The 26,228-nt window shown below is 35.4% G+C and overlaps 1 annotated feature.

Moving 5' to 3' along the window:
* Positions 5,623 to 7,274: an enhancer, noted in NCBI's record as "VISTA enhancer hs1315". NCBI's record gives its function as "enhancer in: midbrain (mesencephalon)[11/11] | dorsal root ganglion[11/11] | forebrain[9/11] | limb[6/11] | trigeminal V (ganglion, cranial)[9/11] | cranial nerve[9/11]" and the evidence as "EXISTENCE:transgenic organism evidence [ECO:0001131][PMID:17130149]".

A 26,228-nucleotide genomic window follows, 5' to 3' on the forward strand; every position in this document is an offset into this window, starting at 1 on the left:
TATATAAATAAAAGGCGTTATATATTGGGATAGAAATAAATATTCATGATGATGATGAAATTATGCTGGAATGAACACTTGTTAGAAAAAAACACTTCATTCCGGAGAGTATTGCATTCAGCCTGTCTTCAGTCCATTTGGATCCCTAAAGAGAGCAACGTAGCAGTTTTTACACTGTGTTACCTTTGCAAGAGTGTATTCATAGTATGTTCCTTAAGCTGTTGGAATCACAAGTGAGTCTGGAACCAACCAATTTGGATTTGATCAAAGCTTTCATCAGTAAAGGGGCGGTAACATGGAGTTACATTGGCCTCATAAGGGTGCATACATCCTTAGATATAGAAAAAGCCTTCCTGGAAAAAGATTGCTAATATATGCATTTACTCTCATCCAAGTGGAATCCATTTGATAAAGGTGCCTTTGTTCATTTTGATACCAATAATCTGCTACCTTGTGACAGTATCTGACACAATCAGTTCTTTACAATTTAGTCTTTGAGACATGTTGCTTGTGTTATGCTGTCTTGCAAACAATACTGCAATTACTTAGTATTAACATTTTAAAAATTCCTTAATCTCTGGGGAGACTTCTTTCTTACAGAAAACAATTCTGGGACAAAACAAATTTTGTTTTCTGGCAAAACTGGGGGAAAAAAAAATCTAGGTTTGGTAGTATTATGAAATTGTGAAAGATTCTGTGGCTATGCTTTGAAGTTTAATGTAAGACTTTGGGCGGAAGTGAAATAGTTTTCATGGCTGAAAAACACTATTTCCTGTAAGAGTAAAAAGATGTTCTGTTGTGGGAACTTATTTTTTAGAGGGAAAAGAGAAACACTTTTGCCAAGTTTACGAAAAGATGTATCCATTGGTGGAGATGTAAAAATAAATTGTCACAGCTGTGAAGAAATATATGGTACTTGTGTTCTGTGATGAGGAAAGTTGGGTCATAATTACCATTGAAATGTTCCCATATTATGTGGAGGAGTCTGAAAAATTCCACTTTATCACTAACTAGTGAAGCACAATAGTGAATGAACCCAACTACTTCTATGGAACAGATTGTTCATTTCTTGGAAGTTACATGAATTCTTTCAGACCAAACAGCATACAAAGTTCTTGTAAGTTTCTTTAGCATTATTTAAAGGGTGTTATATACACAATCAATATTCAATAGATGCTTCATTCAATTAATTAAAATGCATTAAATGGCCTTCCATTGGCTGCAACCAAGTCAAATTTGGCTTGAACCTCTCATTTACTCATAGGGAGGGCCTGAGTGAATCTAACTTTACATAAAACATGGATCGGGTCATTGCCTGATCACATTCAGTATGTTGCCCTCATTTACTGCTATGCAAACAAGGCCCTAGAGGTGGGACTGTTGTCTTTCATTGTCTTTCAGTAACTTCAGAAACTGGGGGTGTCTAATGTCTGCAACATAACAGGACTATTGTAGGAAATTCTGAGACTCTATAAGCACTTTTAAATGTGAAAATTAAGAAGGCATCCCAGAAATGAATGGGTCCAGTGCTCTGATTTAAGAGTGTGTGACCTGTCGTCATTCATCCAGCAGACCCAAGCAGGCTTAGAGAAAGTAAGACGGGTTAGTATTATATTAAGTTTATTTTCCCTTTATTATGTATTTCCTTAAGAAATTGCTTAACTTTTCTAGCCTCAAATCATCTATCATGCTCTTCAAGAATTAAATGAAATAATGCATCAATATAGTACTTCAAAAATCATAGCACCTGAAAATATAGTGGTCATGATCATAAAAATGATCTGGGCTGGGCACGGTGGCTCACACCTGTAATCCCAGCACTTTGGGAGGCTGAGGCGGGCAGATCACGAGGTCAGTAGATCAAGACCATCCTGGCTAACATGGTGAAACCCCATCTCTACTAGCAATACAAAAAATTAGCCAGATGTGGTAGCATGTGCCTGTAGTCCCAGCTACTTGGGAGGCTGAGGTAGGAGAATCGCTTGAACCAGGAGGCGGAGGTTGCAGTGAGCCAAGATTGGGCTACTTACACTCCAGCCTGGGTGACAGAATGAGAATTCATCTCAAAAAAAAAAAAAATGATCTGAACATTTGTAAGAATGAACAACAATGCTGTAATAAGCCCCTAAACTTGTAAGAGCCAACTAAGGTTGAGAAAAATATCAATGGAAAGGGATATTTAACTGTAACTGGCTGAAACCTTTTTAAAGTATTTTGAATGTGAAAGACTAAAAACTGTTAATAATCCATTTAAAAATAGATGGAAAATATGTTAAAATACAATACAAAAATAATGTATTATTTCATCCCATTTAATTGAGATTAATTCCAAATCTATTGGGATTCATCACCTTTTTTCTGTTTTCTTAAATTTTTTTGAGGCATTCTAGATAGTGTTTTAGGCAATCAAAGGTAACTTTAGGAATATGAACCAAATTAGTCCCCAAATAGCCAAATTATAACATTTCATCCACTTTGCCATATATAACCAGCCACAGCCTCATGAAAGTTCTTTTCTGGTTTCCTTACAGAATATCTACATAAATAGATACATTTTTACAGTATATGGTCCTTTCTGCCAAATCATCAGAGCCTTACCTTAACTGTGCTGGACACACACATAATATGTAAATCTGTTCCTTAGAATTTAGCTACAGTTCTCTCAAAGTATTTTGTTGCTCACATATACTCTTTAGAGAATAAGGTACAAGCTTTAATTTTTCTCTTTCTACAAACAGACCCATGATGTACATTAGAACACAGCAACTATTTGAGTGAAATAAGTATTTTTATTTATTTCAAGAGGAAAGCAAAGTCGAAGGGTGTTCAGGTTGGTAATTATATCTGCATTTTGTCTATACTTGTTCTATGGTTAATCAAAAGGATACAATATCAATTTCCATCTCAGCCTGAATGATTGCTTTATAAAATCAATGTGCCTTGTCTGTATTGCATTTGGAGAAATTTTTAGAAATGTCTTTGCCAATATACATTTGGGAAAATTCAAAGCACTAGGCATTTTCCTGTCTGTTCATTATCTGATGTGTTGAAAAACTAACGAAGTATTTGTAGTCTGAAGGACTGGGGTTTTCTATCCTTTTTATTTTCAATTCAGTGCAGAGCCAGGAGAGGACACTATTGGAAAACAGAGATGTGAGAAAACCCTAAAACATGGTGTACTCATGCCTGAACTTAGCCTGTCTTTCACAGCAAGGCTCATCATTTCTGGGTTTACTACAGAACCTCACCGTGTACAGCAGGCCTCCTATAGAAAGTAGGTACTGTTGCCAAGATGACACCAGGCTATAAAGAAATGTGCCAATCTCTTTGTGCCAAGACAACTAAAGTGAGCTCACCTTCTACTGAATCCAGCATAGAACCCTGAGAGGCTTTGGACCTCACCGACACCGGCTCAGTTATCTTCTAAGTTACTCTCATAATTTGTGAAACATGCGATCAGGTACATGTGATTTACAATTACAATTAGCTTGTCAGGCAATATTTTTGCCCCTGGAGGAGTATCAAGCCTCTTGCCTATTCTTGCTTCCAAGTCAGGATCAGTCCCAGATAAATGGGAATGTGGATCAGTTTACTTTTGTGAGCTCCCACTTACCATGCCTCCTGGCCCTTTCTTTCCCTCAGCACTTTTCTCCCCTTAGATACTTAATAAAATTGGTCCCCTAGCTAAGTCCAATTGTCTGGACATCTTGCAAAGGATACCACATTCTGGGTTTATCATTCCTAACCTCCAGTACATGAGGCCTCTATGTACTGGATACTCTATGTACTGAGGCAGGACTGGGGACAAGGGGTTGGCACACAGGTGAAGTCAGCTGGATCCTCATCTAGGTGTAAAGCAATAGCAAGTTAATGAGTACGACGGCAGTCAAAGACAGCCCCCAGCCCCGTTCCCTCATGCAATTCCCCTTGACCCAGGATGTTCAGCTCTATCACTGACCTCAGCTTGTTCTGTATTAGACGCGAAGGTCTCTAAAGGCTAGCTACAAAGTGCCATTTCCGGAGTATAATCAAATATCAGCATTACATTGTACCATTTCATCTCTGCTGAAGTTCTTGAGTTTAAAGAAGTTACTTCTGATTCCTTCAAGTCTCAATATGTGGATGGATGCCACATATTTAGGAAAAATAAAATACATTGATTAATACTTTAGTGGCTTTGATATAAAATTTGAGAAAAACTCTTTAGAAAGTAAGAATTTCATTTCTGTATAAATGTGCATGAACCCTAAATATTTTTGGAAAATCAACTTGATTTTCCAGATAAATTTTTGAATTCCTCAAGGGACAAAGGGACTATTTTTTATTTTCTTTTAATTTCTTGTTAATTTATTCAAGCAATATATAGGTATATAAAAATCCCTGTTTACCACTTTTATTTTATTTCCTTTCTTGAGAGATAAGCAGTGTTATCAGTTGGGCACATAAACTTCCAAGTCTTTTAGCATACATGTCACCAATAAGATAAACAATTACCATTCAATTCTTTCTTTTCATCTGGGATCTGTCCAGGACATTCAACCTAAAATCTTTATTATGCACTCAGTATTTTCCAACATAAAACCAGTACTCTTGAAGTAAAGCAATGATATCTCAGATTCTTTCATATCAGATACCTAAACAAAGTTAAAAACTGGAGGAAAAGGAGGGTCAAGGCCGGTTATTAAGTTAGAGCAATTTCCATTTTTAATAACTTTGAGAGGTTAGGCGGTGTCATATTTTAACTGAGTAGGTATCAACTCCTCAGCGTCTGTTTCCTTCTCTATTTGCATAAGCAATTGACAGCTCATTAAGAGCTCATTAGGAACAGTAAAGACCCTGTGATGGGGAAAACAGAAAAAAAAAGCTGTTTTAAGAAGGAAATCTTGATTCGTGAATTTCCTCAATATCTCACAATATGTTTACACCTATAATATCTGATGAGGAAGGAAAGTAAGCTATATATATTTGTAAAATATAAAAGAATGATAATATAACTATTCATTGTATCAGAGTCTATTTGTCTTAATAAGAAAAAAGGGTATCATTAGAATAGAATCCATAACTGCATAATTTTCTCATTTAAAAAAAAGCTAAAAATTTTTACGTTTCCAAACTGAGTTTTCCTTCCATATACATACATTCATGTGCACATACATATGTAACACATACATACATATGTCTGTGTGTGTTACCTTCAAGGTTACACAGAAATATGACAATGCCGTGAGAGAAGAATCAAATGCCAAAAGTGGTAAAGTGACTTACCCAGGATGTCATTCTAGTAGGGGCTGAATCAAGACTGCATCCCAGGCTGCCTGACTACTTTTTCATTGTTTATTCCATCTCATCAAGGGCCCCTGGTGAGAAAAATCTATAAAATATTTCCAAAACACACACACACACACACACACACACACACACACATATATATATATACATATATGTATGTATATGTGTATGTATGTATATGTACTCAAATTTTAGATAACTATAACTTGGAGAAACCAAAATAATCTTATTGTTTAGAAACAGTCTGTATGTGAGAAAACTGACTATGCTTCTTCAGGGTAAAATATGTTCAGAATCTAAATTAGTTCTTTTTTACTTGCTAATACTTTCTTGACCCAAACAAAACAGGCAAAAATCAGATCTCCTCTGAATAAATGTTTGCCTGACACTTCTAAATCTCTAGGTACCAAAAACCGATCTTAAAATGAAAGGCAAATGCACATTGGCGTGCTGGCTATTCTTTTGCCTTTGTATTGCATTTTGTAGAAGGCATGAATGCAAAGCACTTTTAAACACTCAGGAATCGATGCAAAGGAAGCAGTGGGAATGCATTTATTCCTGTTTTATTCAATTTCAGGGCTACAGTTTTGCTTGACCAGATGTTGCCAAGTTTCAAAGTCAAATCGGTTCATCTCCTGGCTATCAGCTAAAGGGTGTTGTATTTGTAAGCATTGAGAACTTCTATCTACTGCTATTGTATTTTGCATATTTGTATTTTCTGAGTTCTATTTGAGAGAGACGGAATTACGCATTTCCATATGGATCATCCTCTTCCCTATGTATGTTGCTTTATTGCCTTTTGGAAGAAAAAAAGTGAGAGTTGCAGTCTGTATTTAGGCCATTTCTATGTTCTTTATTGGGTTACGTTTGAATGCCCAATTTGATCTCAATGGCACGTCCTTTGTAACATAAAATAAAACATGGTGCTCAGGAAAAGTAACGACACACACATCCAGGCCCTTTCATAGCAGTTGGTAAAGCTTAAGCCTTGCCTCTCTGTGTGGTAGTTTCCCTTCCCTTTCTTTTCGTTCCCTGTGACAAGCAGCCATTGTCCCCTTGGTGAGATCTGCAATATTACTTTGACCCCAGCCCATCAATCTGCCTCAATTGGATAATGATCTGTAATCACGTTCTTTCAGGGGAGTCTATAAATTTGCCAAGGCCCCATTCTCTTCTGAAGGACTCCTTATGTTCACTCCCATTTGTGCAAATGTGCTCTCTTTTACAGGGCTAAATAGCCATGCACATGGTCCATTCTGTGAGGAGGCACCGGGCGGTTCTCTGTTGATTTTCCACGCTCTAGTCTCTTAAAGGAGACTAAGGCTGACATGCAGGGACACAGTGGGGGGGTGGCCCGAGCCAGGCCACATCACAGGCAGCCGCTTTTCTCATTAAGACTGACCCATCATTAGGTCACTTTGTGCCATCCTTGTAATCAATGAGCTTAATGTTTAGTGCAAAAAAAAAAAAAGTTATTTAAGGAAAGGAGCTGGGAGCTGGAAGAGGAAAAGAGGAAAGAAAAATGGTAGGAAGCATGGAGAAATTCACCACTTCTAAATCTTAGGGTTGGTTATACTTTGCCCAAAGGGTAGGATGAACTCAAATATGCTACATGTGATTCCTCAAACAACCGCTTCCAGTCCTGTTTGTTTTCTGTAAAACGTAAATATTCTTAGACGCAACATTTCCCCCAGGGGCCCCGCACTTCTCATGAAGTCAGATGAAGTGCTCTGTCTATAACCGAGGCTGAATCTGCATTTGCTGGGAACCCTGTAGTGGTGAAGAGAGAGGTGGTCAAAGTCCGTGAGCAATTGGGGTGGTTTTGGAGGGGTAATTGGATTTTGTTTATTGTTGGATCCCAAAGAGTTTCATGACCACAGCCAAATACAGCAAATAAAAAAGAAAAAATATATTAAATTAAAAATTGAAAGACATAATTAAATTGGTCCCATACGAAGGGGGGGTTGGTTACAGAAGGGTTTGGGTCATTACATTTCCAACACCTGGAAAGAGTGTCTTTGTGCATGGTGGGAGGCAAAAATTAACACATTTTCATCAAAATAAATCTTCATAAGCAGAGAAGCTAGATTAGCAAAGATTTTGTCCTTAGCATTCATTGGTAATGATGATAATTTTCAAGAAGACGAACTTCACTGCAAACCTCTGTCTGATTAGTTTTTAGTTTATAGCACCCCAATAATGCCTTTGTTACTAGGTTTAGGGAAGACAGCAGACAAACAGCAAAAGGACATCACAAGACTGTCGAGGGGACATCAGAGAAAAAAGCAGGCTATTTAAAACATTTCATCTTTGTGCTTTCCACTGTCCTGTAGGAAAAAAAATGCATATTTTTATTCTCTTATTCTTCTACTACTCATTTTGACTTCATAAACACTTAGAAATTAATTTATAACATACACACATACATAAAGTACAGCACTTAGTATTTAAATGTAGGCTTGTACATTTTAGGGAATGATTATAGAACAAATACTTATGTAACCACCACACTGGTTAAGGAATTGATATTTGTGATTGAAATACTGAAGTCAGGGGTTAAAAAGAAAAATTAACTGTTTCATACCATTTGAGTCCCGCCATGAATCATGGATTACATAAGAGCTGAGGAAAGCCTTCGAGGTTACACAGAAACATGACAGTGTCATGAGAGAAGAATCAAATGCCAAAAGTGGTAAAGTGACTTTTCACGGTGTCATTCTAGTAGGGGCTGAATCAAGACTGCATCCCAGGCTGCCTAACTACCTTTCCGTTGTTTATTCCATTTTATCAAGGGCCTCTGGTGAGAAAAATCTATAATATATTTCCATAACACAAAAACTTTGTTTGTGTAATTACAAGTAACTCTCTGTGCTTAAGTTTTGGCACCACATACTGAAGAAAACGAAGTGATTTGGTGTCATAATTGAACTCATTATATCAGTGTAGTCTTATACACTGGAAAAATAATTACATATATAGAAAAATATTTTGTTCTGCTTATAAAATAGTTATGCATAAAAACAGTCTGACAATTCTAAGTGTTCAAGCCAGAGATATACTTAGGAAAATTTGCTATTACTAATATTTGATGAATAATATTGTGTCCTCTCATTTACAGGCTATTATTCAAATTATAAAACATTTCCAAATATCTAATTTCAAGTCAGCATTTTTCTCCTGTGATTCTCTAGCTAAAAGAAAATTATAAAGTTATAAGACCTATAAAATAAGCCATATATAACAATGGTATATACATTTTGCTGGTCTTTTTATCTTAAAAAGTAAACTTGTTAGCATATGTTGTACATTGACTAGGAAAGTGATCAGTGTAAATTGAACATTTACAAGAAAATTATTGACAAAAGAATTGTTGACCTAGAAAATAACCAGGAAGTTGATTTTCTATTAATTTTTGCAGTCTCCTTGAAAAAAAGAAACACCCTTGTTTAAGCCTCTAAAGTTTTCCTTCATATTGATAAAGATGATCACTATTTTATCAGAGATTCCTTAGATAAAAAATTCTATTATAAAATGATCTTCATTATTTTACAAAGGAAGAAATTGAGACTCAGAAAGGTTGTCCCTCACCCAAGGTCATATATTAATAGCTGGGTTAGAATTTGGACCTGTGTTAATCTGGTTCAAGGCACATATATTTCCTACTATTTTCTCTACATCCACTTACTAAATTTAAGTCAATATTTATTTGTTCCAAATATCCACCATACATGTGTATCCAAATTAAAAATTATCATGTTTTCTTTTTTCAAAGTCAGAGACACTTTGAATACAAAGATGAGACAATGAAACCCTTGTCTTAGAAGAACTCAAGACTCCTCTCCAATAACCTAATGGGGCTACATGAGAGGTTCCTTAGTACTTTATATATTTTTTATTATTCCAAATGATTGTTAATTTATTACTTAGAAAGTTGCCGATACTCTCTTCTACAAAACTATTTTGTTTTTAGGTATGGTTAATAAACTGACAAATACATGATTAGAGGCCACACTTCTTTTTTTGTCCCCGCCTCTGAAAGGTGTATTCCCAAGTAACTCTTTCCATGAAGCTTCCTATAGACCAATCTTGGCCCTAAATCGCGAATAGAAAGTCACAAACACAAAGACCACAGATCTACCAAGAGTGTAGTTGGGAATTTATTTTTTGTTAGGGCAAATGAGCAAAGTGAAACAGAGGGAAAGTCTTCTAGTGCAACCCTTCAAGAGGATTTTTAAGTAGGGGTGAAATTATCCTGTTAGCTATACAGCGCAGCAAAATTTTGTCTCACCTACAAGAACCTGGTGAGCCCCTGTCAGTCATGCCTTAGATTTTTGTGGATTGGTTCATTTATTGGTTTGTTTTAATTAACTGGGATTGGTCTGAATACTAGCCTTGAAAAATAATTGACCCACTAGCTGCTAAAGCAACAAAAATGTGTAATTCTGCAAGTGCAGTGATTTGGTCCTATCATCATCTGACTCGGCTATGAATTGTAGTTTCATCCTTATTACCCAGGTGAACATCATGCAAGCCAATGTCACTCTCTGAATTTCAGTTACAAGAGCTTTATAAACAGGATGATGCTATCAACCTCACTGGTGGTAGCCTGGCTAACTGAAAGACTAAAAAGAAGCATTTGTCCAGTATCTGACACAGCATTTCCACATGATAAATATCTACTGTGATTAATGTTATTATACACCTCTGAAGTAGCTTCAAATATACCATTGTGGGAAGACTGATAATTGTACAACCGTAAGAGTATAACGTGGTTGTTCCTAAGATAATCCTTGGCCTTTCTCTGAGCCAGTGCATCTTGCTTATTTTTCTGTGGAAACATAGAAAATCTGTATTTGAGGATTAACTGCTAGACTCAATGGACATGACAAGTGTGGGGTTACATATTATCCCATAGCAACTGGCACATAATAAAGACTTAACAAATATTTGTTGCATGAATGAACAAATCTATACAATTTTATCCCATTCATACATAGATGTAGAAGAGCTTCCTTCACCTTTCTCTATGAAAAACTAAAGGTCTTCCTTCTGCCTGTTTATAGAAGCCTATTCTTCATTGCATGGCTTAGAAACATGTCTTGTTATCTTACATAATCTCAGCAAATTCTCTTCTACATGTATTCATAAAATGTTACAGTGGGGTAGTATGCTGGAATGGGAAGAGAAGGGATAAAGAGAGAAAGGACCAGATCCCAAGTTATGTTGCGGTTTTCTCAGGAAAAAATATGATAGATTGGTGCTACTTTCAAGATTCTGAATGGCAAGAATTGTGGGAGATAATGAGGAAGGTACCTTAGTTGTTTGGGCTGTGAATAGGACATTTTTATTTTACAAGATGGATTTTTACATAAAGTAGATTAATAACATTTAAGCTTATGGGTCTGTTTGTCTCTTAAGAATTATTAATTTTAATATATTGAGAGGTTTGGAGTGGCGTAATAGAAAAAATGAATGAGAAGAAAATGTTCAGAGTATTCTAAAAGATTTTACCAGTAGCCACTGCTGTAGCAAAAAAACTATTAAGATTCTATTGAGATTGTATCAACATGATGAATTTTCACATGTATACTCCTTTCTGTCTTTCCTCTCCCTCCTTCCTTCCCTCCTTCCTTCCTTTCTTCCTTCCTTCCTTCCTTCCTCTCTCTCTTCCTTCCTTCCTCTCTCTCTTCCTTCCTTCCTCCCTCTCCTTCCTCTCTCTCTTCCTTCCTTCCTTCCTCTCTCTTCCTTTCTTCCTTCCTCCCTTCCTTCCTCTCTCTCTTCCTTCCTTCCTTCCTCTCTCCCTTCCTTCCTTCCTCCCTCTTTCTTCCTTCCTTCCTTCCTCCCTCCCTCCCTCTCTCTCTCTCTTTCTTCCTTCCTTCCTTTCTGCCTTCCTGCCTTCCTCTCTCTCTTCCTTCCTTCCTTCCTTCCTCCCCTTTTTTCTTTCAATTCTCTCACTTTGCTGTTAAAGAAGAGCCACTGAGAGTCACTTGATTCAAAACAGAGCCCCTGGACACTTCCATTCTAGCTGGTGGTCAATGTTCTGGAGAAATACACATTTGGTTTGCATGCCTCTTATTTATTCTAAATTATGAATGCCTCAGAGGTTGCTTGCTTCACTTTGTAGAAATTTTTCACTGAAAAGTTCATTTCTATTTAAAATGTATGAAATACTTAATTGGCATTGGGGAAGGATGGCAGGCCCAGGGTGGTGCAAGAGGCAGTTTCCTTCAATCTTTCAATACTTCCTCTATGATAAAAGACAACTAGTGGAGCCTGCCATGAGGGTAGTTTATTAACTTGTTTCTCCTCCTCCACAGAACTCTGGCAGTTCATCAGTGTCGCAGGCATATGGGAAGGACTCCTGTTTTAAAGGCCTAAGAGGACCCATGTCCTGTTTTTCAATATTAACACCAAATACTGTTTCAAGCTGAGCAGAACTGCCTAAGAATTAAAAATAGAGACTTGTTTGATCTGAGAAAAAGACAGAAAAATGACTCCTATAGAGTTTGAAATGGAGAAAGTCTCCAGAGACAGTTAATTGCTCCTCCCTTCTAAATACTGCTCAAAAACAGATAGAAACAAATCTCTGTCTGGTGATATTGCAATATGCAAATTGATAGACCAAGAATAAACATATTAGCTAATAGCTTCAAAAACCAGCCAAGAGCTCGAGTTGCATAAGAAAACTAGTGCTTTTCTTGGGAAAGCAAAAATAGAGGTTGTTTTGAACTCTGCAATAGAATCATTGCACTTACAGGGTCTCTCATGAATAATTGATACAATATTTGTCAGGAAACAACAAGTTCTGAAAACAAAGGAGTTAGGTTTCTAGTCAAGAAGTTAGAAAAACAGGAAAAGAGCAAACCCTTAAATGCAGGAAAAAGGAAATAATAAAGACAAAGATAGAAATCAGTGGAACAGATGAACAACAATACAATAGAAATTAGACAAATCAAAATCTTTCTCTTAAAAGTTTAATAAAAGAAATGGACAACTAGCATGGTAATTAAGACAAATCAAAAATGCAAATACTCAAAGAAAGACAAAGGGCATAGTTATAGGCACAACATAAATTTAACATAAAATGTATTGTAAAACAAATCAGAAACTTTTGTCTCAGTCCATTTGTGTTGCTATAAAGGAATACCTGAGGCTAAGTAGTTTATAAAGAAAATAGGTTTATTTGGCTCACTGTTCTTCTGCAGGCTGTGCAAAAAGGAGGGCTCTGGCATCTGCATCTGGTGAGGGCCTCAGGCTGCTTCCACTCGAGGCAGAAGGGGAAGGGGAGCCTGTGTGTGCAGAGATCACATGGCAAGAGAGGAAGCAGGAGAAAAGGAGGGAGGAGCCAGCCTCTTTTTAACAAGCAACTCTTGCAGAACTCACATGTTACAGAGAGGATGGCGCCATTCATGAGGAATCCACCTCAATGAGCCAAATACCTCCCATTAGTCCTCACCTCCAATATCGGCTGTCAAATTTCAACATGAGGTTCTGAGGAAAAACATCGAAACTATGGCAACTGGAAAGAGTAAAAAATACCAAAGTTGATGGAAAAAATGATCAGCAGGAAAATTCAACTAGGACAATAAGCATGAAAGAACTCAAAGACCACCCCTTTTAAAAAGCCCCCAGTCCACATGATTTTCTTCATATTTTATACTAAAATTTTCCTAAAAATTAAAGACTTTAAAAATAATTTTAGACTTTCAGAAGAGTTGCAAAGAGTACAGAGTTTCTATATTCCTTTTACTCAGCTTCCCCAAATTTTGAACTTTACGTTACCATGATAAAATGACCAAAACTAAGAAATTAACATTTGGATGTCCCGGTTTTTCAGCAAGTTTATTTTCTGTTCAGAATCCAATCCAGATACCATATTGCATTTAATTGTCATGCCTCCTTAGCCTCCTCCAAGCTATGATTATTCTTAGTCTTCGCTTTTAGGACCTTGACATTTTTGAAGAGTACTGGTCAACAATTTTGTAACATTTTCCTTCTTTTAGGTTTGCCTGATGGGCATTTCTCGTGATTAGACTGGTATCATAAATCTTGAGGAAAAATACCATTCAGTGATATGCCCTCTCATTGCATCATATAAGGTATATTACACATAGCATTCTGTATGATCACTGGTGATGTGAACCTGGCCACTTGGTTAAGATAGCGTCTGCAAGTGTCTGAGGAATTTACTCTGGTTCTCTTTCTGTACTCAATTTTTAATAAGTGGGACACTAAATCCAATCCTTTCTGAAGGTGAGGGGAATTAACATTCATCTCCTGGAGAAAGGCATATTGAGGAATCTATGGCCTTAGGCTAAGAACACCACAGCAAGTAATATTTTGTTGGAGATATGTTGGGGCTGTGCAGATGTCTTGTTGGTGTCAAAGTTTTGCCTAGCAACTTTAGCATTTATCAGTGGATTTCCTGCAGCAATTGTTGCTGTGGCGCCCTAATAGTGATTTGTCCCTTCTGAATGGTGAGTTGTCCCTTCTCCCACATTTACTTCAAGAGAATGTCCATTCTTTACTTCAATCATGTAGTTATACTAGTATTTTTGCATGTACATTTATTTTATTCTTTGGATTATAGTCTCAAGACTATCAATATTTTTTTTTGGTGAAATTATTCCTGCTTTCCCCCACTCAACTTTTTATACGAGAATTTTCAATTCTATAGAAAAGTTGAAAGAATAATAAAGTAAATACATGCTATACCCTTCGCAGTTGTTAATGATTTGCAATTCTGTTTCTCTCTCTCCATAAATGTATATATACAGAAAAGAAGCACACTTATTTTCCAACACCTTTAAAAGCCATAGACATCATGACACTTCCCTTCTAAGTTTCAACGTGTATCTCCTAAGAAAAAACTTTTCTCACCACCCACAATACTATTATGTCACCCTCAAGACATTCCACAATTATATAAATTATCTATATTAAGTCAATTTTCAGTATGATTAACTGTTCTTAAAATTTCTTATAAAGCTTGTTTTTTTTTTGGAAAAAATATATAGTATCCAACCAAAGATTATACACAGTATTTTGTTGTCATAATTCTTAGTTTTCTATAATACAGAACAATTCCCAAGTTTTTAAAATTTATTTTATTCACTATTTTTAAATATACACTGTCATTATTTTTAAGAATCTGGGCACCACTTAATCTTTTAAAGTATCTGGCCCAATTTGGATTTGTTTGATTGATTCTTCATAATTAGATTCAGGTTAAGTATTTTTTGGAAACAAAATTGCATAACATTTCAAAGTACAAGATGTGATTTTGTCACATTAGCAAAGGCAAAGTTTGCTTACTTAAGGGCATGTCTTAGTTTGGGTTCCCTAGAATTAAAACCTCAGCAGGGATCAGGGTATAGGATTTATTGCGGTGTGATGTGGGAGGAACCTGTAAGGGGGTGAGTGAAGTAGGAGAGGAAGAGAGCAAGAAGCAAGCAAGGGTGTGGTCTCAACTAAACTTCTGCCTTGGCCTGATCCCTGGTGGGCAGGCAAAGAGGGGAGGGTGTAGCTCCAGAGGATAAAGAAGGTTACAGAGCTCCTCCTGTTGGTTCCGTGGGGCTGGCCATTTGTGTCCTCATGGTAGCCAGTTGTTGGATGTATGCTGCCATGGATGGGGTGGGCTGGGGCAGAGGAAACCTAAAGGGCAAGGTGGCTCCCTTCAGCAGAAGGGATTCTCTGAAGAAATGGGGAACTGAGCTTTGTTAGTGATCAAAACACAGCATCTGGGCAATACACCCCATGGTGATCTGGTGGAGTATCCCTAGCAGCTACTACAGGTGACGACAAACATCTTCCCCTTGTAAAGATGCCCTTTCCCATTTGAAAATAATAACTAATCTTTATGTTAAAATTTGAGACTGTGTGAATATCCTATTCCCCAGCAACGCTTTACCCAAAGGAGGTAGTATCCATTGATCATTGTTTCCAAAACCAATTATGATGAGATAGTTGCAAAATAATGATTTTTCTCCTAATTTGAGCTTTTCTTCTATATGTATTGGCTTGTGTTCTTTTGTAAAGAAAAGCTCTTTCTCTCTTACCACTTCTCATTTTTGGTACTGCTATACACCATGCAAATATCTGTAATTTAGTGTGTTATCATCTGTTATGTTTCTCATCTTGCTCAGCTGTCACAAATTTGGCCAGTGGGAATCACTTCAAGCTGGTTCCTGTGCCATTTCTGACATGTCCCCATTAATCTGAGCACTCTCTTCAGTCTCACCTGGTACTTTTCCTGGAATTAGCCATCCTTCAAAAAGACCTGGTCCCTTAAGCACAGGATGGTATTTTGAAAGCAAGAACTGAGTGTCCAGTGTGCTTACTGGTGCTGGAGTATTATTGGTTACATTTCAATGGTCAAAACTAGAAAATAGGGTTTTTTAAAAATCTTGAGTTCATTCTGATATTTCTAATTCAAATTCAACATCGCTAGGCTCTCTTCACCTTTCTCATATTACGTTTTACTATTTTAATCTCCCTTTTACAGTAAGAAATATGTGTTGAATTTAACTTTATCAAAACAGTTTTATAATTATTATATCAGTATCACTACCAACAATATATCTAATGAAGTAAAATTCCAATTTTCTTTGAAGCTCTTTTTGTCCTCATAACGTATCTCACTAGCTGCATGCAAAATAACGGGTTCAAATGTTATCTGAGTCAATTATTTTTCCTTGTATTTATCTTATCAATCTGATAGGTTCATTTATTTTCTGTTGATATTCCATTTTAAGATTTGCTTTTTATGTTCTTTTTATTTAATATTTTTAACATGAAAAATAAACCTCTATGGTTCAAAAGCTAAAAATATATTACAAAGTATCCTTAGAAAGTTTGTTTCCCTCTTCAGTCCTTCCACACCATTACCATCCATCACCTAGAGGCAAACATTTTTATTAAATTTTCATCTATCCTTTCTGCATTTCTTTTAAAAAAATGGAAAAAATAATTATTTTTGTTCCACAAAAAAGTAGCTTACTATATACACAATTTTGATCTTGATAGTATGTTGTAAAAAATCAATCTATTTCCTTCGTAGAGCAACATAAATGCGCAATAGTGAACTTCATAGAGGTCTTCCTCATTCATTTCATGTCCACATAATATTTCATTGGCTTATTCAAGCAGTTCACTATTAGTGAGCATTTAGGCTGGTTCTGATGTTTTACTGTGACAATGAATAACCCTTGTGAATATGATGTTTCATGTTTTCAGAAATGTACTAGCAGGTATGTCTGTCAAATGGGGATTTCTGAATCAAAGGAGAAATCTGAATACTGTTTTGCCAAATTTCTTCTTCATATGGGTTGCACCATTTAGCACTGCCATCAGTAATAAATGTAAATATCTGTTTCACTTGTCCTCACCAATGGAGTGTCAAGGGTTTGAATTTTGGCTTGTCTGGAAAGTGAGAAATAGTAGTTATAGTTTGTATTTCTCTTATTATAAATGTGTGTATATTTTTTGTAGGCTGTGTGTTTGTCTTTTTCACCTACTTTTTCTCCTTATATTTTAGGTCCCATAGATTCTTATATGTAGTTTTCATTAGATCTAAAAATTCTGAAATTTTGGCTTGTTTAACCCTTTTCTTCTAAGATTTACTTATTAGAAACCTGTTTGTATTTAAATTTCTAAGTTGAAGACTTTTTATTTTTCTTTTTTCTTTTTTTAATTTTTGCTTTCTTTGAATAGATAATTTTTTTAAATTATACTTTATGAAATTTGAGATTTTCCTTTCTGACATAGTATCTAGTCAATTATGAATATTTGATATGCAATTAAAAAGAAGAAATATTATATATTATTGGGACATAAATTTTGATACATCCATAAGATATAATTGCTGATTGGGCTATGTTTTTTATATACTCCCTTATTTGTTTCCACTGGATTAATCTAAACCAGAAAGCTGTGTGTTATATATGCTATTTTAAATGGATTTCTCTTTGATCTTCCTTAGTTTCTGCCATAGGAATGTATTATTTGAGGCATAGATTTTATAATTTTTGTATCTTCCTTGTAAATTAATGAATTTAATTACATGAAGGTAAGAATTGCAGTTCACAAATCATGCCATGTACAAAGACAACAGAAAAATGAGAGATTTAGGAAGAGTCTTTTCAATATTTAGAATCAACAAAGAACAAATATCTAGATTATATAAAGGATTCCTATAAACCAACAAGAAAAAGAAAGAAAGGCTTAATGAGAAAATAGGAAAAATATAGGAACAGGGAGAAGAAGAAACAACAAAACCAAGAAAGTGCATAAAGATATACACAAATTCTTCTGCCATTAGACATATGCATGTTAAAACAGTGAGATTACTTTAAACCTGTTAGGACGTCAACAATCAGAAAGCAGGATAATGCTAGTGGTAGAAGGGATGTGAGGGTAACAACACCGTATTCAGTGCCAATGTCCTTTTGCATAGCATTCAGTAGTAGTCAAATCAAATTTAAATATACTGTATACCAAAGTGTATATGCCAAATTGTGAAGCAGGTTCATAAAGGGATGAGTGTGCAGGTTCATTGTAGTGCTGTCTGTGGTGGTGTTGACTATGAGAAGGAAGAAATATAATTAGACTGTGTTTTAATACACATTAAACAAACGCCTAGTCAATTTCCAGCCTACACGATGTCGGCCCCCGTGATCCAGTACACATTCGTTTTTCTAGCTGTGATCATCTTCTCTACTCACATGAACTTTTTACATCTCTCTCTTTTTTAGCTTTTTTCCCCCCCAGGAAAATATATTTATTCAAATTCTCTTTTCAGTTCTCTCCAGTGTCTTCCCGCATTACGTTTTTGGTTTTGTTACAGCACTTGACACTATGATGTACTATTGGCTAGGTACTTAGCCTGGTATTTATACATGAGACCTTGCATTTCATCAAACATATTTTAAATATATCAGAGTTAAGGACATTTTCAACAATCATTCCTTCTAATAGGACTTAAATGGCAAAGTGTTTGTGTAATATTAAGATTTTTAAAAATATTTGAACATCAACCAAATGTAAGCTGGTGTAGCTGTCCTAACAGTAGATGAATTAGATATTAAGACAAGAAGCTTTCCTGGAGAGAAAGTAGAATTCCTATTGATAAAAACAACAATTTATCAGGAGGACATAACAAGTCTAAATCTGTATGCATCCAATAATATTTCAAAATATATAGGGCAAATATTGACAGAATAAAAAAATAGAGAAAAATCACAATGGTAGTGGGAGACTTTCAAACAATTTCACCAATAGCTAATGCAGAAGATCTCAACAACATGATTAACAAACTGATCCAAGTAAAATACATTTTTAAAAAATCAAGTTTTCAAGATTATATGGCTTTCACCCAGAATGATTACATTCTGGCAGTGTGATATTGCCAGCTTTGGTGCATTTCAAAGGACAAAAACCATTCAGGATATATTTTCTGATCATGGTGGAGGCACACTAGAAATCAGTAACCAAAAGTATTTACAAAATGCCCAGCAGTTTGGAAAAAAAGCAATAAATTTTAAATAACCTGTGCGTCAAAGGATAAATTTCCACAAAATGAAAACATTTCAAACCAAACATAACATGAACAATTTTAATATTAATAGTTTGACAAATTTAGAAGAAAATGGAAAATTCCTAGATAAGAAGTAAACTTCCAAAAGTAACAAAAAAGAGAGAATGTGGATCAATTAAAGGATTAAAAATTTGATTAAAGACCTTCCCACAAAGCAGAATCCAAGCTCAGACTGCTTCAACAGCTAATTCTCAAAACATTCAAAAGTGTTCCTTCTCAAAACATTTTATGAGGCCAGCATAACCTCGATATGAAAACCAAAAAGGGCATTATAATAAAGAAAAATCACAGGCTAATCTCTCTCATGATCCTATGTACAAAAATCTTAAACAAGATGATAGAAAATCAAATGCAAAGATACATAACAATTACAATACATCATGACCAATTTAGGCTTCCTTTTTCTTTCCAGGAAGTCAAGTTTGGCTTAATATTTGAATATTATTATAATTTATCACATCAACAGAAAAAAGAAAATTCATATGATCATTAAAATAGATCGAGAATAAATGATTAAGTTTAACACCCATTCATGGTAATAACTTTGGGAAACTAGAGATAGAAAAAACCCTTTCTCATCTGAAGGATGTATCAACAATAAACCCGCATGGAGAATAACGCTTAATAGTGAAATAGCAAAATGTTTCCCTAGAGTTCAGGAATATGACAAGGATATTCACCATTACTACTATTCATATTTTACTAGAGGTCGTAGTGAGTATAATAAGGAAAAATGAAAGAAAGGAAAGGAAGTAAAAATGACATGATTGTATACTTTGAATCTACAAATGTACTGGCAAAATTGATAAGTGAATTTAGCAAGATCAGATAATAAAAGGTGAATGTAGAAAAAACAGTAACATTTCTATATACCAGCATAAATAATAGAAAGTGAAACTTTAGAAATATAACTTACAATAATATGGAAAATGTCAAATATTTAAGCTAAAAAGAATAAATAAGTGCAGAACTTTCACAGGAATCATTTCAAAACATTATTGAAAAAATTTCTACATCATATTATATTTCTACATTGATGTAGAAAGGCTTTCAATGCAATGCAAGGCTTTCAATATTTGTGAAAAAGACATTTAACCCAATAGCACAATAAGTATAAGTTAAAATGCTCATTCTAAATGTACAAATAAATGAAAAGGATTAAGAATAACCAAGACAATCTTGAATAAAAAATATAAAGCTAGAAGACTGACAAATATGAAGTCATGTTAAATTGTTGCAATAATGAAAACTGTTGCATTGGTTGAGGGACATACAAATAGGCAATGAAACAGAATAGAAGTCCCTGGCCAGGCATGGTGCCTCACGCCTGTAATCCACACTTTGGGAGGCCGAGGTGGGTGGATCACCTGAGGTCAGGAGTTCGAGACCAGCCTGGCCAACATGGTGAAAGCCTGTCTCTACTAAAACTACAAAAATTAGCCAAGAATGGTGGCACGTACCTATAGTCCCAGCTACTTGGGAGGCTGAGGCAGAAGAATCACTTGAACTCGGGAGGCGGAGGTTGCAGTGAGCTGAGATCACACTACTGTACTCCAGCCTGGGTGACAGAGCAAAACTCCATCTCAAAAAATAAAAATTAAAAAAAAAAAAAGTCCCTGACACAGACCCATGCATGCCAAGTCACGAGGTTTATGATAAAAGTGAAACTGTAGTATGTATTAGGGAAGGAATCATCTTTACAAAATTAATGCTGAGTCAATTAGTCATCGCATAGGAAAAAAGATGAATTTTGACTCTTATACCAAGTACAAAAACTATTTCCAAATACTAGATCTAAATATAATAGATTTTTAAAAAGGTAAAATTGTATCTCCATGATGCCTGGTTAGCAAGAATTTGGCAAACAGGACACAAAAGAATTTAATCCTGAACTGAATAAATGAGACATTGGACAACTTTAAAATTAATTTTTTTCAAAGACACTATTAAAAGAATGAAAATTCAAGCTGTAAAGAGGGAAAATATATTTGAAATGCTTATACTCAATAAAGGATTCATATTCTGAATAGAACAAAAATTCCTACAAGTCAACAGGAAAAAGACATTCAACCCAATAGCACAATAGGCAAAACACCTGAAGAGGCAATTTTACTTGCTGATAAATGTATTTTTAAAATCTCAATTTTATTAGCTTTACAGGAAATAGAAATTCAAAACTCAATGTGATTCTAACACAAAACGTCAGAATGGCTAAAATGCGAAATTCGTTAATACCAATGCTGGTGAGGATATGGAGCAATGGGAACTCTCATGAATTGAAAAGAGAAGTATAAATTGGCATATGCACTTTGGAAAAAAGTTGGCAATATCTACTAAAAGTGAATATAAATGCCATACAATTCAGCAATTCTACTCCTACATATATATCCTGTGTATCTTCACCAAAAAGACATTTATATAATATCTCACAGCAGCAATATTCTGATTAGCTCAAAATGAAAACAACTCAAAATTAGAACAGATTAAAAAATTACCGTATACTAATGCAATGGAGCACTACAGAGCATTCCAAAAGAAGACTTACTGTTATATGCAACAACATGTTGCATCCCCCAAGTGTCCTACTGAGCAAAAGAGACCAGAGAAAAGTATACATAATGAATTATTCCATTTAAGTAAAGTTCGTAAAATAGGCAAAAGTAATTTATGGTGTTACAACTCAGGATAGTGGTTACTGTTGGGGAAAATATTGAGTGAGGAGGCTTAAGGAGAATTTCTGAGTATGTTCTATTCTTTGCCTGGCTGCTGGCTGCAAGATGTGTTTACTTTGTGATATTTCACTCATCTGTAGAGTTATGATTTATGTACATTTCCATGTTTGTTATACTTCAGTTGTACATAAAGCATGGGTAAGAAGGTATTTTAAATGGTTCCCCAAGAGGTGATTAAAAACACAGAACCAGACAGTAGAACTGGATGTGTATGTGTTTGTGCATGCACACTATTGCCCCACCAGTTTCTTCCAAACTACAAAACTCCTGCTTTTTAATTGTCCTACAATAAACGTCTCCAAACTCTGCAACACACACAAAAAAACAAAAACAAAAAAACACCTCATTAATATGAAATGCAGTCCTGATTGTGGAATGTGATGACATTTTGTGTGTGATGTGTGTGTATGGTATGTATGTGTGTTCTGTGTGTGTGTGTGTGTTGGGTGTGAACTTCTCGAATCAAGGAAGTAGATAGAAGGTTATTAGAGTATCATTTTGTTACTATTGAGCATGACAGTAATGACTAGTTATAATGCATAAGTAACTTAGAGTGTGAATTTAATAATCTAATATTTGCCACCTTAATTATGGTATGTAATTCAAAATTATCCAATTATTAAGCAATAAAACTGGGTCTTGAAGTGATGAAGACAAGTAGGAATGGTTGAAGTTGTCCAAAACATTTTATGTTATCTTTAGTTATGATTCTCTGCTCTTCATTTTTATAAAGCCATTAATATTTTTGTTGCAGTCTATGTATCAATTTAGTCTTAGGTTAGTGAGGAAAGACTTAAAAGAGAGTAGATTTAATTCTTCTAGTGTTTATTCTGCTATTGTATTAACTCACATAATTTTAGAGAGTGTTTAGTTTTCAAAATTTGAGTTATAAGTTTATGGTAAGTGGTGACTATAACTTTAGGGGTATATTTTCAAAATAGTTTGTATACCAATTGAAGTAGCATTTGATTATTGAAATTTAAAGAACGATTATTATTTATGTTGGAAAAGCATCAAGAAAAAAATTAGAATACAAGGTAATACCTCATTCCAGAGATCACACTTGTAAACCAAAGTTCCCTGGGAAAAGAATTCAAAGAATCACAACCTACGTTGCTTATGCAAAACAATGCGTTAATTTTCGACCAGTGATTTATCTTGATGTAAGTTACATCAGATTTCATAATACAAATAGCTCTTTCAAATGCTGTATCATTAATAAGGAATTTTACTAACGAAATTATCTACTTCAGAAGACTAAAAAAAGAAGTGGAAAATGGAAGATTTTGACTGTAAATGTTCAGAGATTCGTGAGAATACTTGGCGCCCATTTGTCCCATTGTACTTAGTTGTTTCTTTTCGATAGCAAATCTCTTGCCCCATTGCTACATTTTCACATCACAAATCTCTTACATTTGTCTGGAAGCTGTCAACCTCCTATCCAAAAGAACATTATCATGTTTTCTTTTTACCACCTAATTATTATTCTGTTAGACAATGTATTTACTCCAAAGTGGTTTGGCATAATTGATTAGGTTGTTCTATGTCAGGACAAGCACAGATGCGGGGCCAGTGGAGTCTGTTAAACTTGGAGACAGGGCTGAGACAAAGGCCTCGCTCCAGTCTCCAGGAGGCAAGAGGCTGCCAGTGCTTCTGTGCTGGCAAGACAAAACCTTCTTGTGGTGGGTGGTCCATGGGGAGGTAATTGGAGATCTGCAGTATGTCCACTACAATCAACAAAAGGGTACAATAGCTGTTCTGTAGGGAATCTGGGGAAAAGAATTTGTTTAAATAAAATTGCAAGCTTGTCAGAGTGGGAAAGCCATTCTCAAATGATCTGTGCATCGTCTAAGGGAATGCAGATTGGGAATCATTTAGTCTCAGGCGAAAGCACTGATGATACAAAGAAAAGTTTAACTTAAACAGTGTAATAGAGAATGAAACCCATGCATTATTACTGTCGGTATGTTAGTGGCATACAACAAACTCTTCTAGGGGATACTTCCAAGTGGAAATGTTTACAAATGGGAAGTTTGATTCTTAGGCTGTGCCCCCAACACAAAAATGAGATGGTCAAACTGTTCTTAGCTATTTATTTATTTTATATTGCAATGCTGAATCTGAGTATTAAGTATAGGAAGCACCCGTTATAAGGAGTGGTTACGGAATAAAATTGCCAGTGGTATTTAGTAAAGTTTTATTAATAAACTAAGTAGAGTGTGGCTCTGTCGATTATTCCTGAGTGTGATTTACCAACAACATGGTACTATAGACATGGAAATTATTAGAGGCCCCTGGGCTCAATCCCCTAAAGAAATTAAGTCATGGCTAAACCAAATTAAGTCTTGAGAACATAAGAATGTAAATCATGGCCCAGGGCAAAGCCCTCCAAGTCATTAGGTTAATGGTGCTCACTGTCACCCAGTGATTCTTCACTTGCATGTTATGAAGAACAGGAAAGGCCACCGAAAGCATGATGGATAAGAACAGAAGTTTGTGGAAAGGAAACGATTTTTTCTAAGACAGCAGAGTCAATGCCTTAACCTAAAACCCTTTCCTTTTATATTCTTTTCTTTCCTTTCCATTTTGTTCTAGTGTTTGCAGAGTGTTTATAGTTTCGTGGGAGAGCAGGACCATTTCCCATTGTGTGTGTTATTTAAGCCTGCAATGAAAAAAAGGAACTAAAAGTAAAGAAAAAATTGGAACAAGCAAAGGAAACTTTTTCATATTCCCTCTCTATCTCTAATTTCTGTGGATACACCAAGTCTTGTTTTGAAAAACATACCTAAAGAAAAACATTCTCTATTTTGCTTTGAAGTTAGGTGGTCTTCCTATAGGTAGTGTAAATAGGATGCTGTAAACTCATGCCAGCCTAGTGGGTCCTAGGAGTCTTTGTTCTGGATGCAATTACATGATCAGGTTGCTTTCCCCAAGCCAACATGTTGATCCCCATAAGAAATAATGTAACTAGGAAAAACAAATAGCTGTGCAAACACCTAAATGTAAAGGAGCTTAGGAAAAGTTCATAGAGTAGAAAAGTTGCTATCTTTCTTTCTTTTTTTTAATTATACTTTAAGTTCTAGGGTACAGGTGCACAACGTGCAAGTTTGTTACATAGGTATACATGTGCCATGTTGGTTTGCTGCACCCAGCAACTCGTCATTTGCATTAGGTATTTCTCCTAATGCTATCCCTCCCCCAGTCCCCCACCCCCTGATAGGCCCCGGTGTGTGATGTTCCCTGCCCTGCATCCATGTGTTCTCATTGTTCAACTCCCACCTACGAATGAGAACACGCAGTGTTTGGTTTTCTGTCCTTGTGATAGTTTGCTTAGAATGATGGTTTCCAGCTTCATCCATGTCCCTGCCAAGGACATGAACTCGTACTTTTTTACGGCTGCATAGAATTCCATGGTGTTTATGTGCCACATTTTCTTAATCCAGTCTATCATTGATGGACATTTGGGTTGGTTCCAAGTCTTTGCTATTGTGAATAGTGCCGCAATAAACATGTGTGTGCATGTGTCTTTATAGTAGCATGATTTATAATCCTTTGGGTATATATCCAGTAATGGAATCACTGGGTCAAATGGTATTTCTAGTTCTAGATCCTTGAGGAATCACCACACTGTCTTCCAAAAGTTGTCGTCTTTCTAATATTGATTAGAAACTTGTTCAGAACAACTTTCTTTACCCACAGATCCCTTCTGTTAAAAGAACAAGTGATGCAGAAAGGTCTATGGCGTCCTTTACTTGTGATCTACATTAACACTTCTCTTCTAGGACCGAATGTCCCCTGAGCAGAACAGGACAGCTGCCTTAAATTGTGAACAAAAGCTGCTCATTAAGCTGGTGGGTTCTCGGTGAACTGTCAGTAAACATTTTAAGAAACCATTAACCTCACATTTGATTTCAATAGATAATTGACTTTTAGAATTGTTGCAGACACTTTTCTATTGATCACAAAGGGATGCATTTTGTTACAAGCGGAAAAGAGAAAAACCTCCCTCAGCCCAGACCCTCATATCTTGCTCTCTGGGATGAACATTTAATGGATGTTATGTATTGACTATTAATATTAGGAAATAGAGAATAAAATAAACAATTTAACAAAGCCAACAATGATGGCTTCTTCTGATTATAGGAAACCACTTAGATACCAAATGAATATGGAAAATTAAAGAAAATATGACGTGGTATTTACATTTAAAATATATTTTAATGTTTTAGTGATTCAAATTTCAAATCCCAAATGAAGTAATGAAAAAAATAATGTTAAATTTGTGACTGAATTCAAAAGTGGCATGTAGCTTCAGTTTGAGTAAGAACATGATAATGAGCTATTTGCAAAATCATGTTATTCTGAATCTCCAAACTTGTTCAGTATAAATTGATGTTACTTATAGATTTTAATTCATAGAATAAGGAAATGGCCTGAAAATTAACATCACAGTTTTTCTAGCCTCTATTCCATTTATATTCCTTTAGGAAAGTAAATCTAGATACAGTTTTCTGTTTGTAGTTTTGGAATGTTAACTTTTACTTTTACTCTATAACTTCATGTACAGTAATCTTCCTACACTGCACGTTATAGTTTGTATTTTAGGCAGCATT

This window comes from Homo sapiens, chromosome 6 (genome assembly GCF_000001405.40).
Source record: "Homo sapiens chromosome 6, GRCh38.p14 Primary Assembly".
Taxonomy (NCBI): domain Eukaryota; kingdom Metazoa; phylum Chordata; class Mammalia; order Primates; family Hominidae; genus Homo; species Homo sapiens.